Genomic DNA, 19,723 nt, shown 5'->3' on the forward strand with positions numbered 1-19,723 from the left:
TGACCATTGCTGAGGCATGGGCAGGGACTCGGGCACACACGTGTGGGCAGCTCCGTGGTGTTAACCTCCAGCCTGGGTCAGTTGCTGGCCTGGGCTGACTGTGGTGACCACAGGCCAGGGGATATTGGGAGGGACTGAAAACCATGAAACAAAGCAGAACAAACTTGCCACTCCAAAACCTCACACACGGCAGGAAGTGGGCCAGCCTGGAGTTACTGAGGGGGCTGTGGCCGGGCACACCCTGTCCTACCTGAACCCAGAGTGTCAAAGACAAACAAAGCCAGGCAGTAGTGAGAGGGTCAGGAGAGATTTTTCACAGTAATAACCGTTGCAGTGGGGAAGAGGTTACAGTGTGAACTGAAGTCAGCTTGGATGTGTACAGAGGTGAGTGGATTTTTCCAAGGGAGGAGGGAGGGGTGAGGGAAGGCTTGCTGGAGTCAGGAAGTGAGAAATTGCAAAGCCCAGGAAGGAGGGGCCGGCCCCACTGGGCTGCTAACTGGCTCTGGTCGAAGTTAGCTCCTGATGTCCCACAGAGGCCGGGAGACAGGGGCCGTAGCTGCAGGGATTGGCTGGAACAGGGTATTTTTTGGCGGTCTTGAGTTTCCTGAGGTAGGGACTATAAGGGGGGCTGGTGTCATCCTAGGGATGTGGCCATGAGTTGCTAGATGCCATGTTAGTGTTAGCTGAAGTCTTTATAGGCCAGCGTGGAGGTATTGTTGAGAAGAGGACTCAGAGGAGCCTGGCTGGCAGTTGGTCGAGGAGAGATCTTAGTCTAGGGCCCCACACAGCCCAGGTTCCAGGGATGTGGGTCCTGGCCAAGTATCCCATGGGCTCCTGCCTTTGGCTCACTCGAGTGGGCCTCAGGGACTCGCCACCAAAAAATCTGAGACGCCAGCCTCAAGGATGTGAGGGTGTCACATCTGTCCTCCACAAAGAGCCCAAGCAAGATGAGAAACAGCTTCATGACCCCCATAATGAACAAGCCTTTTAATGTCAGGACAGCTGCAAGCCCTTCTTCAAGCTCTCGGCCTCACCTGTCTTCCTTATAACCACAGAAAATGTCACTCCTCCTCTGATTTGCCTTCTATACCATGCCCTTCCATCTGAGGCAATCTTGTGAAGCATTCCACGTGGTCCTCCTGGGCCAGCTCACCCTCATGACCCCTGGGCTGCAGGCCACAGCTCTCCCTGGCGGACCAGGAGGCTGGCATGGCAGCATGGATAGAAAGTGTCTTTTACCTAAGTCATCATTCATTAACTCCAGTTACATTAGAGATGTTTCCTGCTGGAAAACTTTCAGAATCATCTCTTTTTGAGAAAAAGGTGTGTGTATTTTTTTAAACAACAGCAATAGTCCAAGTCTGACTACTAAGAGCACATTTTTATTTTTAAAATTAGACATTGTGCTGAAAACAAGTTTATTAAAATATGATCTATAACCTAATTTTATTCTTTCTTATAGACATGGGGGTCTCAGTATGTTGCCCAGGCTGGTCTTGAACTTCTGGCCTCAAGTGATCCTCCCACCTCAGCATCCCGGGTAGCTAGAACTAGAGGCACACACCACTGTACCCAGCTATGACTTGGTTTTAATTGTCAAGGGAACCAGATTTGTGAAAGAACAAAAACAGTGGCATTTGTTTGTCTGGAAATGGGGCCATCTGGGTTCTCCATCTCTTGGGGGCTGTGTTTGGAAAGGAAGAGCTGTCAGTCTGGGTTCCAGGCCGATCCTCCCCGCAGTGGCTTTCTTCCTCTCTCGCCTGGAGGACATCTCATAGTTCTTGCCCTCAGGGTCCCCCCAGGCCGCCTTATCCTCCTGGCTTTTCATCCCCTGCAATGTGCCACTCAGCTGCTGAGCTTCCAGGCCAGGCCTGCAGTTTCCTGGGTACCCAGCATGAGTGGGGCTCTCAGCTGAAGGGTGGGTCAGGTGGTACAGGAGCCTCCATAACAGTTTGCTAAATATATGAATAAATAAATTATAAAACGTTAGTCCCCCTGCCAAAAAAAAAGCACAAAACACAGTTTGAGGTGATGTGTTTTTGCCCTTGCCTGAGGGAGTTGGGATTTACACAATGCCACCATTTGCAAACTGGGATCTACAAGCCCCAGCAAGACACAAAGTTTGCAAGGGCACAGGCAGTGTTAAGCAAGCTGTGTTCCAGAACCTAACACCATCTTCATGGGCAGGCCCTGATGGAGATGCAGTTCTTCCCCGCCTTCCTCCACAGCACCCAGCTCCCTCCCCAAGCAGATCTTTCCACCCAGGGCAATGTTGCATCAGCCCAGAGGAGGAAGGCCTCCCTGGCCATGGCCACAGCCCACCCACCAGAGGATATTTGCAGTGTTGGGAAAGTGTGAGAAAGTGAGTGACTAATGGCTGTGTTACTAATCTTCTGGCAAGTCAGATTGTTCTAGTTCTTTGCTTTCCATGAACTGAAAGAGGATCTAGTCAATTTATAAACTGATGGATTAGATCATTAAAAGTAATTTTTAGGCCGGGTGCAGTGGCTCATGCCTGTAATCCCAGCACTTTGAGAGGTTGAGGTGGGAGGACTGGTTGAGCCCAGGATTTCAAGACCAACCTGGGCAACATAGTGAGACCCCGCGTCTACTAAAAATAAAAATTAACGGGCGTGGTGGCACACATCTGTGATCCTGGCTACTCAGGAGGCTGAGGTGGGAGGACCCCTTGAGTTTAGGAGTTTGAGGCTGCAGTGAGCCATGATTGTACCACTACACTCTAGCCTGGGTGACAAAGCAAGACTATCTCAAAAAAATTTTTTTATGATCAATCTTCATGTAATTTTCAGCACATAACTTAGAAGGAGTGGAATCTTTACAACAAAACACTTTCCATTCAGATGTATTTACTCATGTAAAAACGTTTTTCGCCATGCTTACATATATAAAAAATAGGAATCCAACTGATACCGAATCATGTGTCATGCCACCGATAAGTAATATTCATCCATGGATACATAAAGTAATTTGAAAACAGTTTTAGTACCATTTATCTCGTTATAAGATGTGTTTCTGATAAGTGTATATTTTCACTATTAATAATTATCAAGTTATAATGTAGTCATTTTACCTTCATGAATTGAGTGTTAATAACCATGATAACTGGAATACATCATTTACAATAACTGGAAAAAGTTATTTAACATTTAGAGACATGTTGAAGAAAATTAAAATTGTAAGTTTTTATACATAGCTTTTGTAGCAAGAAACCTGATAGTGTGATGAACAGAAGAGTTTTAAGCATAAGAAATTGTTATAATAAAATTCTGTGGAGGAAGAGGAATGAAAACAGGAGTTGCAGTAGAAAAAATGGATACTTAAGGAGGAGATTGTTCACACACATTTTTTTTTTTTTGAGACAGGGTCTCACTCTATGACCCAGGCTGGAGTGCAGTGATGTGATCTCAGCTCACTGCTTCCTTGACCTCCTGGGCTCAAGTGATCCTCCTACCGCAGCCTCCTGAGTAGCTAAGACTACAGGCACCTTCTGCCATGCTCAGCTAATTAAAAAACAAATTTTGTAGAGACAAGGTCTTGCTGTGTTGCTGAGGTTGTTCTGGAGCCCCTGGGCTCAAGCAATCCTCCTACCTCGGCCTCTCAGAGTGCTGGGATAACCAGCGTGCGCCACCACGCCCAGCCATGTTCACACATTTTTAAATTTGGGGGATGGTGGGTATATAATTTTCAGGCTGTTTAGATTCCACTGGACACATTTAAAAGAGCATGTAATTTTTGTAATGTCAACATATGCCATATGCTGAAACTATTTCAATGTATGATAAAAATGTTAAATATCAACTTAAAAATATGCTAGATGGTATACAGTCACAGGACACTCTCTTAAGGAGTGAGAGGACAAAGGCTTGCAGCCTGTGGTGGGAAGACATTGAGAAATGTCTCAGAAAGGTAAGTGCTGATGTTACTAGGAAACGGGATCAGTGAGAGACGTCAGAGATTGTTCTGTTAAAATACACTCCCAAGGAGCTACTAAAACCCCTAGAAGATAGAACTGAATGAGGAAGAACTAGCTAAGCATGAAGGCAGCAAAAGTAATGGCACAAAGAAACATGGGATTCAACCATAGAGAAGATGTACACCTCTGTATGTCAGAAAAACATGCCCATTCAAATTAAACACCATAGTTACAGTAATGCTCTCCAAACTTTTTCTCGCAAATTCCTAAAAGTACACTGAAAAACTGTATACCTTTTTGCACATTGCAAAGATGGCTGTTGACATGTTTCACCCCAAGTTTAAATATCTGAAAAGAATGTAATTTTGGTATATCGGAAACATTGACCTTTAACTATATATATATTTATATACACACAATATATATACATATAGAATACGTTAATACAGTATATGTTTTATATATATATACACAGACACACAGATTATGTGTTACCACAATATGTGATATATGTATATAGCTATATATGTATATATAACATATACTGTATGAATTGTGTGTGTATATATAACGTATATGTTATGACGATATTCAATACTTTAGGTGTGTTTGGAGTTATATGCCCCAAATTATGTAATAATCCATCATTACAAATTATTTTCAATCTGACTACTTGATTCAATTTTGTTAAAAGTGAAAACTGGAAACAATATTACTGTCTGTGTGTGTATGTGTATGTGTGTGTATATATATATAAAACACATATATTAATATATGTTCTACATACATAGTAAATGTATATGCCCTAAATGTATACAATATAATATAAGTGCTCTAGTAATATGAAATACACTATCATCCTTAAAAAAAGTACACAAACAAAACCTTTGACAACTGTAAATTGTTTTTCCTTCTATGTTTATTTTTTCTACTTTTCCACACAATTTTATTGTAATATTGATTTTTTCTTGATGTCTTTTATTGATTATTCTGTCATACCTCTCTGTCACATAATATATATATAAACTGATCAAAACAACAAATGCATTAAAATCATTATTAAAATTATTAAAATTGTTTTGGGAATGCATCACTTAATGAAACAGATGAGAATTCTTTCCCAATTAATTCATGTATCCATGGATGAACATTGCTTGCTGTTAGAAGGCGGTACAGTTCTGCATCACATCCATCCCATGTTAGCTTTTATAGATGTTGCACTGAAAAGTCAAACCATCTGTCACATCTTAGTCAATTTCTGTTAAAAAAAATAGACAATTTTTATACATAAATAAATGTTAACATGCAATTTGAGGAATATTACAAAAAACATTGAGAAATAAATTATCGAATCTGTCTTTTAAGAGTGCCAATAGCAAGATTAAAACAATAGCGATGAGATATAATTCCATTATGTATACTATTGAATTGTAAAAACAAGATAACAATGCTGGTCAGCAACACTTAATTTCTAACAATAAAATGTTACACGTAACTAGACTGAGGTACATGGGTGGAAAGCATAGAAGAAGCCATGATATCACTTCAGTAAATGTGTAGGCAAGCATGCACTGGATTCCAGGGTTTGGCTTGAAGGATAATTAGAGTTTTTTTTTTAATGTCAAAAAAAAAAATTCATTTTAAAAAGATAATTGACCAAAATTGTCCTTGGTCTAACCCCTGGGGTATACTTTTTATTTTGTATTAACAAAAGGCAGAGCATAATGAACATTTTCTCTGATCAAATAAAAGTGAGGATTTATGCAATTGGAATATTTTACAACCTTATTTGACCACATGAGTTTGATTTCCTTATTGAATGATACATGAAATCTGAAGGAAAGCTCACCAAATATTAATGTGCAGGTCTTGTATATCTCGATGGTCCTGAGAAAACATTCCATTCACAACGAAAAGAATCTGCACCATTAACCTACACTGCTCCTGCTTTTTGGAGAGATTTTTCCTTCTAGCTAATGATATCTCTACTAATGAAGTAGGAAAGAACAAAAGGTATTTTTAGAATTCCACACTTTTTTTGCTGTGCTCTGGTAAGACCTTCTCTCGGGATCTGTGAGTCCTTTGAGAGTAATTTGTGGGGAGTGGAGGTGGGTTGGAAGGGGTGAGGTCACTCTTGCAGCTGCACTGTAGCAATGCTGAATTCCGGCGGTTCCACGCCCGGGCTTATAGGGACAGCACAGTATTCAGGGCCAGAAGGCGGAGGCCTTGGCAGGAGCAAGGTGTTTCATCAGCTACCGTGGGGTTCTATTCAGAAGGGTCTCTTGGTACGGTTGTCTTTTACACTCTTTTCTGAGACTGGGGATGGGCCAGGCACAAGCCCTGCTTTTGTCACATGGAGAGGCATTGTGGAAGGTGATTTCGTGTGAACCAGCTGCGGGGGTCGGGCAGGGAGATGAAGAACTTAGAGAATTGACACCTCACAATGGCCTGCACCCACACCCTTCTCAGAAGGCACTGCCTCTTCGCTTGAGGGGTAGCTTGAAGGCCCCTGAAAGCAGGGAACGAGGCGCGGCTGTGCGCGCGCGGCAGGTGCACAGGACCCACCTCGCCGGGACCCACCTCGCCGCAGCCCCTGCGCGGCCTTTCCCTGCGCGCTGGTTAGGAGGCTCCTTCTCCTGGCCCACCCCAGACCTACTGAATCCCAGGCTCTGTGGGGAGGCCCAGCCATTTGTCTTAGGAAGCAGGCCAGGTGATTCTGATACACAGGAAAGTCTGAAAACCTCTGTCTCCTGTCAGAGCGCGGTGGCTCACGCCTGGACTCTAAGCACTTTAGGAGGCCAAAGCGGGAGGAGCGCTTGGGCCCAGGAGTTCGAGACCAGGCTGGGCAAAATGGTGAGACCAAGACCCCGTCTCTACAAAAAACTACAAAACAGAAGAAAAACAAAACAAAAAGCATGAAAACCTCCGTCTCCTTTCCCAGCAGGGACCAGCCCTCCCACTCCGCTGATGATGGGGGTACTGGGGAGCGCAGCGGTGCGCAGGCACCTGGGGTTCCGTGCCTCTCCTCACCCGCCGAGCCCCGCAGCAGTCCCGCTGCCTCTGCTCTGCAGCACCCTGACTTGCGGTGCTCCCCACCCACCGCCGTGCTTGTCAGCTCCAACTCCGTGCTGGACCTTGGCTGGCTCTGAGCAGGTTTCTCCATTGGTGGAGAATTTGAATATGTTTCATTCAAGAAATCCCAGCAAAACACAAGGGTAATGCTGAATATTTTAAATATCGGTGGATAAAAAGTGAATGAAACACACACACAAAAGTAATACAATCTCTTAATAAATATGAAGAGATTCTATCTTTCAAATATAGAAATGGAAATGAGAAAAATAGCATTTTGCCTACTGTCAAGGACTGAAGGAAAAAAGGAGATAATAGTCAGTCTCTACTAAAAATACAGCTGGGCCTGGTGGTTGCACGCTTGTAGTACCAGCTACTCTGAAGGCTGAGGCAGAAGAACTGCTTGAACCTGGGAGGTGGAGCTTGCAGTGAGCCGAGATCGCGCCACTGCACTCCAGCCTGGGCGACAGAGCGAGACTCAGACTCAAAAAAACAAAAAAACAAAAAAAGTTTGCAGGAAGGATAAAACAGTAGCTTTCCGTCCTGTTGGTGTGACTGTAATCATTAAAGGATCACATTCTTGAGAGCAATTTGGCAAAACGGATCAAGAATCATTCAAATGCTTACCCTTTAAAGTCATATTTTACTTCTAAGCATTTTGCCTACAAAAATAATGCACATTAAAATTTCTCTACAAGGATATTAAGTTTAGGATAATTTTTATGATAAAAATTGCCCGTAGCATAAGTATTAATGAAAGGAGAATAGTTAAATTTATTAAGGTAAATTCATCGGGTGGACATTATACACCATTTCCAATCTGTTCAAGGAAAGTTTAATGACGCGGCAGAAATACGTTATATGCACAGAGTGGGATCTAAAACCTGAATCACAACATGCATTTCACTTAGAGACGAAAGAGATTGAGATCTTGATTTTGTTCTGTTTGACTTGCACTCATTCTCCCAATCTGTCTTTCACATGCTGATTGAGCACTTTATACATCAACTGATCAGCATTTTGAGGAATCTTACCAGGAAACTGCTTGCTGGCCAAAGTTTTAATTTTGGCACCTGCATCATTGCTGTGCTTGGGCAATTGTCTGAATATTTCTATTACATCTTGTCATTATTTTATAAAAGGGAGAGGGGAATGGAACTATGAAAGTGCTGTGGCAAGATTTGTCATTCTCACAAAGGCAGTGACAATATGAAGTTGGACATCTGAAGTGGGCTGTCAGCTGCAGTCATACCTGTGAGCTCAATTGTTGAGAAAAGATTCAGAATTAGTGATGATGTCCATAATGCCAGAAGTAAACTGTGAAGGTTGCGTCTGAAAGGCAAGATTTGATTAGGGATTTGTATTATTCTTTCTATTATATTCGAAAGTAGAAATCTGCCTGTGTGCATAGAAAAACTTAGAAGGCAATATACTAGAATATTAAAATATTAAAAATTGTTGTTTTGGGATGGTGAGACTGCTTCTAAATATTTTTTCTTTCTTTTTTTTGAGACGGAGTCTCACTCTGTCACCAGGATTCTCCTGCCTCTGCCTCCTGAGTAGCTGGGATTACAGGCACCTACCACCACGCCAGGCTAATTTTTGTATTTTTAGTAGAGATGGGGTTTCGCTATGTTGGCCAGGATGGTCTCGATCTCCTGACATTGTGATCTGCCCACCTCGGCCTCCCCAAGTGCTGGGATTACAGGCCTGAGCCACCACGCCCAGCCAAGACTGCTTCTAAATATTCTTAAAAGGATATGAATACTTTTATAATCAAGTAAAGCATTAAATGTTATTTTTAAGGAGGAAAGAAGAAAGTGCACCTTATCAACCTGCTAAAATGTAACTGAATATAATAATGCTGGTTATAAGATGATGCTCTTTTCTGGACCTGTTCCAGCTTGTGAATATTCCTTTTTAAACATAGTCTTCAAAGCCAACACAATTCTCCAGGTAAGGCTGATTCCCTGGGGACTCTGGGGAGATTGGATGGAATCAGAGAATCTCAGAATCATCTAGGTTAATAGCTCTCTCAATCTGTGAATCCCAGCACCATCTAACCATTAGTATTAATTTGCTTTTCTATGAAAGTCCTTCAGCTGTATGAAAGCAGCTGTCCTGTTCCCTCTTTTATTTTTTCCTAAAATTCACGAATATTTATAAGGCACCAGCAGTGTAATACACACTAGACCCTTTCCCATCATTTAACGACATTTTCTTTGTTTCAGACTGGATGTGCCTAGTTCTTTCAGTCATCTCCTCTATGACATAGTGATGGGTATTCTCGCTGTCTTGAATGTTCTGATTTGCTGATGTCCTTTAACATGTGACAACCAAAATTAACACAGAAGAGGCTTTACCCATGCAGAGTACAAAAGGTGAAGTGCCTCTGTTTCATTCCTGTAGCTGACATGGCTGCAGTGATTCTGTTGTGAAATTACACCTGTGCAGACTGGTACATGAACCAGGTTTGCTTAAGGACATGCTCAGCCCACAGATGTAGGCTGCGTCATGCATCTGTAGACAGATGAGCACCTTCATTGGTGCCTCCATCTCTTGTCTCTCCCTTCTTTCCCATCCCATGGTTGGCTATCAGAATTCTCTCTCTGCTTTTAAAAAGCCACTTTACAGAAGTATGACTGATAAACAAAGAGCTGTACAAATTTACTGTACACAACTTGATGAATTTGGAGATAATTATGTACCTATGAAATCATCATGACAATTTATGCCATAAACATATTTACCAACTCCAAAAGTTTCCTCCTGCCCTGTTTATTAATTATTATTATTACTATTTGTGATAAGAGCACTTAACATAAGATCTACCCACTTAGTAAATTTTCTCTTTTTTTTTGGAGACAGGGTCTTTCTCTGCTGCCTAGGCTGGAGTGCAGAGGCGTGAATATGGCTCACTGCAGCCTTAACCTCTCAGGCTCAAGCAATTCCTCCCACCTCAGTCTTCTGAGAAGCTGGAACCAAAGGTGTTTGCCACCATGCCTGGTTACTTTTTTATTTTTTGTAGAGACAGAGTTTTGCCATGTTGTCCAGGCTGGTCTCCAACTCCTGGGCTCAAGCCATCCTCCCCACGTGGCCTCACAAAGTGCGGGGATTACAGGCATGGGCCACCACCCCCAGCCCCACTTAGTAAATTTTTAAGTATACAATATGTTATTGTTAACCATAGACACTATACTATGTATAATATATACTACTGAATAGTAGATCTGGAAGATTTATTCATCACGCACAACCAAAATTTTGTACCCTTTGACCCATATCTCCCCATTTTCTTCTCTCCCTAGCCCCTGGCAACTACCGTGCTACTCTCTGCTTCTATGACTTCGGCTATTTTAGATTCCATGTATAAGTGGTATCATGTAAATTTGTCCTTTGGTGTCTGGCTTACTTCACTTAGCTTAATGTCTTCCGGGTTGATCCATGTTGTCAATAAGGAAAAAATTCTTTCTTTTTAAAGGCTAAGTAATATTTCACCATACACACACACACACACACACACATACACACACACTCTATATATATATATAAACATTAAACACCATATATATGGTGTATTATATGACGAAATATTAAACACCATATATATGGTATTCAATGTTTATATATACACTATATGTATACACACACTGTGTGTGTATATATATATATATATATATATATATATATATACATACTACACACACACACACACATTTTCTTCACCCTTTCATCTGTCTACAGACATTTAGCATTTAGGTTGCTTCCATGTTTTTAATATTATGGATAATGCTGCAATGAACAGGTTACTGTTCCTTCCTTCTTCTTCCAAATCCTGCTTTCAATTTATTTGGATATATACTTAGAATCATAGTAGTTCTACTTTTAATTTTTTGAGGAACCTCCATACTGTTTTCCATAGTGGTTGCACCAATTTACACTCCCATCAACAATGTAAAAGCATTCTCTCTTCCCCACATTTTCACCAACACTTATCTTTTGTTTTTCTAATAGTAGCCATCCTCATAGGTGCGATCTCATTGTGGTTTTGATTTGCGTTTCCTTGATGATTATTATGTTGAACACATCTTCATCAATATGTTAGTCATTTGTATGTCTTTGGAGAAATGTCTACTCAATTTCTTTGCCCATTTTCTAATTGGGTTATTTATTTATCTATTTATTTTTGCTAATAAGTTGTAGGAGTTCCTTATGTATTTTGGACACTAACCCTTTATCAGATACATGGTTTGCAATACTTTCTCTCACTATGTAGGTTGTCTTTCCATTTTGTTGTTTCCTTTGCTATGCAGAAGTTTTTTAGTTTGATGTAATCTCACTTGTCCATTTTTGATTTTGTTGCCTGTGCTTTGGTGGCCATATCCAAGACATCATTGCCAAGGCCAATGTCAAGAAGCTTTTTAAAACCCTATGTTTTCTTCCACTAGTTTTACTGTTTCAGATCTTACATTTAAATGTTTATTTTGAGTTGATTTTTGTGTATATTATGAGATAAGAATCCAGTTCCATTCTTTCTCATGTGAGTAACCAGTCTTTCCAACACCATTTGTTGAAAAGCCTACAACTTCCCCATTGTATATTCTTATATCCTTGTGGAAGATCAGTTGACTGTACATGCCTGGATTTATTCTGGCACTCTCTATTCTATTCCATTAGTCTGTATCTCTTTTTATAACCTAGTACCATATTGTTTTCATTACTGCAGCTTTGTAATATATTTTGAAATTAAGTAATGTGATATTTCCAGTTTTGTTCTTCTTGCTCTAAATTGCTTTGCTTATGATTCATATGATTTTAGAATTACCTTTCCTATTTCTGTAAAACATACATTGGGATTTTAATAAAGATTTCAGGTTGATTGCAGTGGCTTATGACTGTAATTCAGCACTTTGAGAGGCTGAGGTGGGTGAATCACTTGAGCCCAGGGGTTCGAGATCAGCCTGGCCAACATGATGAAGCTCTGTCTCGGCTAAAAATACAACAACAACAATAAAATATCCAAGCATGGTGGCACATGACTGTAATCCCAGCTTCTTGGGAGGCTGAGGCACAAGAATTGTTTGAACCCAGGAGGCGGAGGTTGCAGTGAGCCGATATCATACCACTGCACTCCAGCCTGGGCGACAGAGTGAGACTCTGTCTCAAAAAAAAAACAGAAACGAAAACAAAAACAAAAAAAAACAAAGATTGTATTAAATATAGAGATAGTTTTGTGTAATATGGACATTTTAACAGTATTAATCATTCAGTCTATGAACATGAAGTGTATTTCCATTTATTTGCGTCTGCTTTAATTTCTTTAATCAGTGTTTTATAGTTTTTAGCGTACATGTTTTTCAGCCCTTTGATTAAATTTATTCTTATTGTTTAATGCTATTGCAAATAGGATCATTTCTTTAATTTCCAATCTGGTTTGGCTTTGTGTCCCCACCCAAATCTCATCTTGAATTGTAATTCCATAATCCCCACATGTTTTGGGAGGGGCCTGGTGGGAGGTAATTGAATCATGGGGGCAGATTCCCCCCATGCTGTTCTCATGTTAGTGAGTGAGTTCTCACAAGACTTGATGGTTTTATAAGGGGCTTTCTCCTGTGTTCGGCACTCATTCTCTCTTCCTGCTGTCCTGGGAAGAGGTGGCTTCCACCATAATTGTAAGTTTCCTGAGGTCTCCTCAGCCATGTGGAACTGTAAGTCAGTTAAACCTCTTTCGTTGATAAAATACCAAGTCTTGGGTATGTCTTTATTAACAGTGTGAGAACAAACTAATACAATTTTCCTTCTGAATAGTTTGTTGTTAGTGTATAGAAATGCAACTATTTTTTTTTCTGCATCTCTATTGCATTTTTTTTTTTTTTGAGGCAGAGTCTTACTCTGTCACCAAGGCTAAAGTATAATCGTGCAATCATGGCTCACTGCAGCCTCGACCTCTTGGGCTCAAGCAATTCTCCCACCTCAGCCTCCCAAGTAGTTGGGACTACAGGTGGATGCCACCACACCCAGCTAATTTTTGTATTTTTTGTAGAGATGAGGTTTTGTCATGTAGTCCAGGCTGGTCTCAAACAACTGCACTCAAGCTATCTGCCCACCTCAGCCTCCCAAAATGCTGGGATTACAGATATGAGCCATAGTGCCTAGCCTTAATTTTTATATGTTGATTTTATATTCTCAAGTATACTGAATTTCTTTATTGGTTGCAACAGTTTTTCTGTGTGTGCGTGTGTGTGTGTGTGTGTGTGTGTAATCATTAGGGTTTTCCACATATAAGGTCATGCCATCTGCAAACAGAGATAATTTTACTTCTGCCTTTCAAATTTGGATGCCGTTTATTTATTTATTTGCCTAAATGCTCTGGCTAGGAATTCTCTGTACTATGTTTAAGAGGAGTGGCAAGAGTGGGCATCCTTGCCTGGTCCAGATTTTACTGGAAAAATTTTCAGTATTTCACCATTGAGTATAATGTTAGCTATAGACTTTTCATAACTAACTTTTATTGTGTTGAGATAAGTTCCTTCCATACCTAATTTGTTGAGGGTTTATATCATGAAAAATGTTGAATTTTTTAAAGTGTTTTTTCTGCATCTATTTAGACAATCATGTGATTTTTATCATTCATTTTGTCAATAATCAACATTACATTGATTGATGTGAATATGTTGAGCCATCCTTTTCTCCCAGGGATAAATCTCACTTGGTTATGGTGTATGATCCTTTTAATATGTAGTTAAATTCAGTTTGGCAACATTTTGTTGAAGACTTTTTGCATCAATGTTCACATGCTATTGACCTGTAGTTTTGTTTTCTTGTGTTGTCTTTGTCTGCACTGGAATCATGGTGATGCTTGCCTCATAAAATGCATTTGAGTGTGTTCCCTTTTCTTACATTTTTTTAAAAGGAGTTTAATAAGAATTGAGGTTAGTTCTTCTTTGACTGTTCGGTAAAATTTATTTGTGAAGCCGTCTTGTCCTGGGCTTTTCTTTGTTGGAAGGTTTTCCAAATTATTATTATTACTGATTCAATCTCCTTGTTTGCTATGGGTCTGTTCAGGCTTTCCATTTCTTCTTGATATCAGTCTTCTTAGGTTTTATGTCCCTAGGAATTTATCCTTTTCTTCTAGGTTATCAAATTGGTTGGCATATAACAGTTCATAGTAGTCTCTTATGATCCCTTTTTATTTCTGTGGTATCAGTTTTTATGTCTCCTCTTTCTGATATTATTCAGTCTTCTCTATTTTTTTCTTAGTCTAGCCAAGGATTTGTTGATTCTGTTTATCTTTTTAAAAAAACAAATCATAGTCTTTTAAATTTTTGTCTGGTATTTTTCTATTCTCTATTTTATTTGTTTCTGTTTTCATCTTTATTGTTTGCTTCCTTTTGCTAACTTTGGGCTTAGTTTGCTCTTCTTTTTCAAATTCCTTGAATGTAAAGCTGGGTTGTTTATTTGAGATATTTCTTCTTTTTTATTGCTTTATAGACATTTATTGCCATAAACTTCCCTCTTCATATTGCTTTTGGTTTATTCCATAAGTTTTAATATGTTGTGTTTTTGTTTTCATTTGTCTTGAGATATTTTCTAAATTTTTCTTGTTTTTCATTTATACATAATAATTATACATAATTAAGGGTTATATGTGATATTTTGATACATACATGCAATGTATAATGATCAAATGAGGGTAATAGGATATCTATCACCTCAAACATTTATTCTTTCTCTGTGTTGAGAATACTCCAGATCTTCTCTTCTAGCTGTTTCAAAATGTACAATAAATTATTGTGGGCTGGGCTTGGTGGCTCATGCCTGTAATCCCAGGACTTTGGGAGGCCTAGGCGGGAGGATCACGAGGTCAAGAGATCGAGACCATCCTGGCCAACATGGTGAAACCCCGTCTCTACTAAAAAATACAAAAATTAGCTGGGTATGGTGGTGTGTGCCTGTAATCACAGATACTCAGAAGGGTGAGGCAAGAAAATCGCTTGAACCCAGGAGGAAGAGGTTGCAGTGAGCCGAGATCGTGCCACTGCACTCCAGGCTGGCAACAGAGTGAGACTCCGTCTTAAAAAAAAAAATTGTGAACTCTAGTCAGCCTCCTGTGCTATGGATCACTAGAACTTTTTCCTTCTATGTAATTGAATTTCTATTTTTACTTTTTAAAATTTCTACCTCCCTCCACTGATTTTTTCTTTTTTTTAGAGACAGGGTCTCACTCTGTTGCCCAGGCTGTGAGTGCAGTATTATGATCATTGCTCACTGCAGCCTTAAGCTCCTGGGCTCAAACAATCCTCCTTCCTGCCTCCTGCCTCAGCCTTCCAAGTAGCTAGGATTACAGGCATGTAACACCATGCCTGGCTAGCTTTTTAGTTTTATTTTTTGCAGAGACGAGGTCTTGCTATATTGCCTATGCTGGTCTCAAACTCCTGGGCTCAGAAATTCTCCCACTTCAGCCTCCCAGAGTGCTGGGATTACAGGCAATATACACTGCGCCTGGTTGTAATTGAATTTTGTACCCATTAACCAGACTTTTAAAAATTGCTTCCTTCCCCTTCTCCTTCTCACCCTCTGGTAATCATCATTCTACTCTCTACCTTCATGAGCTCAATGTTTTTAGCTCCTATATGTGACTGAGAACATGTGATGTTTGTCTTTCTGTGCCTTGCTTATATCAGTTAACATAATGTCCTCCAGTTCTATCTATGTTACTGCAAATGACAGAATTTCCTTGTTTTTAAAGGTGAATAGAATTCCACTTGTGTATAAGCCACATTTTATTTATTCATTCATCCATTGATTGACACGTAGGTTGATTTCATAACTTGGCTATTGTGAATGCTGCTGCAATAAACACAAGAGTGCAGATATCTCTTTGATATATGAATTTCCTTTCTTGTAGAGGTATACCCAGCAGTGAGATTGCTGGATTCACTTTTTGAGGAACCGTCACATGGTTTTCCTAGTGTCTGTACTAATTTACATTCTCACCAACAGCGTGCTAGCATTTCCCTTCCTCTGCCCCTTTGCTAACATTTGCTATTTTTTTTCTTTTTGATAATAGCCATTTAAACTAGGGTGGGATGGTGTCTCATTTTGGCTTTGAGTTGTATTTCCCTGATGATTAGTGATGTTGAACATTTTTTCCATATACACATTGATTATTTGTCTTCTTTTGTGAAATATGTATTCAGATCATTTGCCCATTTTTAAATCAGATTATTTTAATTTCACTATTAAGTTGAGTTCCTTAATATTCTGGTTATTAATCCTTTGGCAGATGGATAGTTTACACATATTTTCTCCCATTCTGTAGGTTATCTTTTCTCTCTGTTGGTTGTTTTCTTTGCTGTGCAGAAATTTTAGCTTGATATAATCCCATTTGTCTATTTTTACTTTTCTTTTTTCTGAGACAGGGTCTCACTCTGTTGCCCAAGCTGGAGTGCAGTGGTGTGATCACAACTCACTGCAGCCTCAACCTCCTGGGCTCAACTAATCCTCCCACCTCAGTCTCCTGAGCAGCTGGGACTATAAACACATGCCCCACACCCAGCTAATTTTTATATATTTTTTTTTTGTTGAGAAGGGGTTTCACCATGTCACCTAGGCTGGTCTCAAACTCCTAGGTTCAAGAAATTTGCCCACCTTGGCCTTCCAAAGTGCTAGGATTATAGGCACGAGCCACTACACCCATCCTATTTTCACTTGTGTTGCTTGCTCTTGTGAGGTCTTACCAAAAAAATCTTTGCCCAGACAAATGTTCCGAATCCTTTTTCCATGCTTTGTTTCAGTAGATCTATAGTTTCATGTCTTAGATTTAAGTTTTTAATCCATTTTGATTTGATTTGATTTTTGTATGTGGTAAGAGATAGGGTTCTAGTTCCATTACTCTGCATGTGGCTATCCAGTTTTCCCCGCACTGTTTACTGAAGACACTATCCTTTTCCCAATGCATGCTCTTGGTGTCTTTGTTGAAAATGAGTTTGTTGTAAATGTGTGAATTTATTTCTGGATTCTCTCTGCAATGCCATTGTCTATGTGTCTGTTTTTTGTGCCAGTACCATGCTATTTTGGTTACTATAGCTTTGTAGTATATTTTGAAGTCAGATAGTGATTCCAGATTTGTTGTTTCTGGTCAGGATTGCTTTGGTTATTCAAGGTGTTTTGTGGGTCTACACAAATTGTAGGATTGTTTTTTCTATTTCTTAAAGAATGCTGGCTGGGGGCAGTGGCTCACACCTGTGATCACTGCAGTTTGAGAGGCTCGGGCAGGAGGATTGCTTGAGGCCAGGAGTTGGAGACCAGCCTCGGCAACACAGTGAAATCCCTGTTTCTACAAAAAATTTTCAAAAATAGCTGGGTGTGGTGACACCTGCCTGCAGTCCTAGCTACTTGGGAGGCTGAGTGGGAAGATTGCTTGAGTCTGGGAGGTTGAGGCTATAGTGAGCTGTGATCGTGGCACTGCATTCCGGCCTGGGTGACAGAGCAAGACCCTGTGTCAGAAAAAAATAATATAAAATGCCATTTGTATTTTCATAGATATTGCATTGAATCTGTAGATCACTTTGGGTAGTATGAACATTTTAACAATATTAATTCTTCCAATCTGTGAGCATGGGATATCTTTTCACATATGTGTTTATATCCTCTTTAATTTTTTTCATCAGTGTTTTATAGTTTTTGTTGTAGAGATTTTCACTCCTTTGGTTAAATGTATTTCTAGGTATTTTTTGTAGCTATTGTAAATGGAATTGTTTTCCTGATTTCTTTTTCATTTTGTTCACTCTTCTTGTATAAATCTGTTACTGATTTTTGTGTGTTGATTTTGTATACTGCCACTTTTACTGAATTCATTTATCATTTCCAGTTGTTTTTTGGGGGAGTTTTTAGGTTTTTCTAAATACAGGATCATGTCACCTGTGAACAAGGACAGTTTGACTTCTTCCTTTCCAATTTGGATGCCCTTTATTTCCTTTTTTTTTTTAACTTTTATTTTAAGTTCAGGGATGCAAGTGCAGGTTTGTTACATAGGTAAACATGTCATGGGGGTTTGTTGTACAGATTATTTCATTACCTGCCGAGACCAGAGACCAGCTTGGTCGTGGAGACCCTAACCCAGTGGTGCTAGAGGTATTAAAGACACACACACAGAAATATAGCATGTGGAGTGGGAAATCAGGGGTCTCACAGCCTTCAGAGCTGAGAACCTTGAACAGAGATTTACCCACATATTTATTGACAGCAAGCCAGTGATAAGCATCGTTTCTATAGATTATAGATTTACTAAAAGTATTCCTTATGGGAAACCAAGGGATGGGCTGAAACAAAGGGATGGGCTCTGGCTAGTTATCTGAAGTAGGAGCATGTCCTTAAGGCACAGATCGCTCATGCTATTGTTTGTGGCTTAGGAACACCTTTAAGTGGTTTTCTGCCCTGGGTGGACCAGGTGTTCCTTGCCCTCATTCTGGTAAACCCACAACCTTCACCGTGGCCATCATGGCCATCATGCTGAACATGCGAACATGTCACAGTGCTGGAGAGATTTTGTTTATGGCCAGTTTTGGGGCCAGTTTATGGCCAGATTTGGGGGCCTGTTCCCCAACAATCACCCAAATATTAAACTTAGTACACATTAGTTGTTTTTCTTGATCTTCCCCCTCCTCCCACCCACCCTCCAAAAGGCCCCACTGTGTGTTGTTTCCCACTATGTGTCCATGTGTTCTCATCATTTAGCTCCCACTTATAAGTGAGAAAATGCAGTATTTGGTTTTCTGTTCCTGTGTTAGTTTGCTAAGAATAATGGCCTCCAGCTCCAATCTATGTCCCTGCCAAGGACATGATCTCATTCTTTTTTTTTTATGGCTGCACAATATTCCATGGGGTATAGTTACCACATTTTCTTTACCCAGAATATCATTCTTGGGCATTTAGGTTGATTCCATGTCTACATTATCGTGAATAGTACTACAGTGAACATACATATGCATGTGTTTTTATAATAAAATGACTTATATCCCTTTGGGTATATACCCAGTAATGGGATTGTTGGGTCGAATGGCATTTCTGTATTTAGGTCTTTGAGGAATCACCACACTGTCCTCCACAATAGCCAAACTAATTTACACTCCCACTAAGAGTGTATAAGCATTCCTTTTTCTCCACAACCTCACCAGCATCTGTTATTTTTTTAACTTTTTAATTGTAGATGGTATCTCATTGTGGTTTTGATTTGTATTTCTCTAATGACCAGTGATTTTCAGTATTTTTTTAATATGATTGTTGGCTGCATGTATGCTTTATTTTGAAAAATGTCTGTTTATGTCCTTTGCCCACTTTTTTTTATGGGGTTGTTTGTTTTTTTCTTGTAAATTTGTTTAAGTTCCTTATAGACATTGGATATTAGGCCTTTGTCAGTGCATAGTGGGCAAAAATTGTCTCCCATTCTGTAGGTTGTTTGCTTACTCAGATGATAGTTTCTTTTGCTGTGGAGAAGCTTTTTAGTTTAATTAGATCCCATTTGTCAATTTTTGCTTTTGTTGCAATTGCTTTTGGTGTCTTTGTCATGAAATTTTTGCCCATGCCTGTGTTCTGAATGGTATTGCCTAAGTTATCTTCCAGGATTTTCACAGTTTGGGGTTTTACATTTAAGTCTTTAATCCATCTTGAGTTAATTTTTGTATATGATATAATGAAGGGGTCCAATTTCAATCT

At 39.8% G+C, this 19,723-nt stretch overlaps 1 long non-coding RNA gene across 1 annotated transcript in view; it reads left to right on the forward strand.

Annotated features, from left to right (window-relative positions):
• The window catches only part of LINC02346 (long intergenic non-protein coding RNA 2346), a 150,761-nt gene that overhangs the window by 667 nt on the left and 130,371 nt on the right, over positions 1-19,723 (forward strand). The window lies entirely within an intron of this gene.

The sequence above is a fragment of the Homo sapiens genome, chromosome 15 (assembly GCF_000001405.40).
Source record: "Homo sapiens chromosome 15, GRCh38.p14 Primary Assembly".
Classification (NCBI taxonomy): Eukaryota; Metazoa; Chordata; class Mammalia; order Primates; family Hominidae; genus Homo; species Homo sapiens.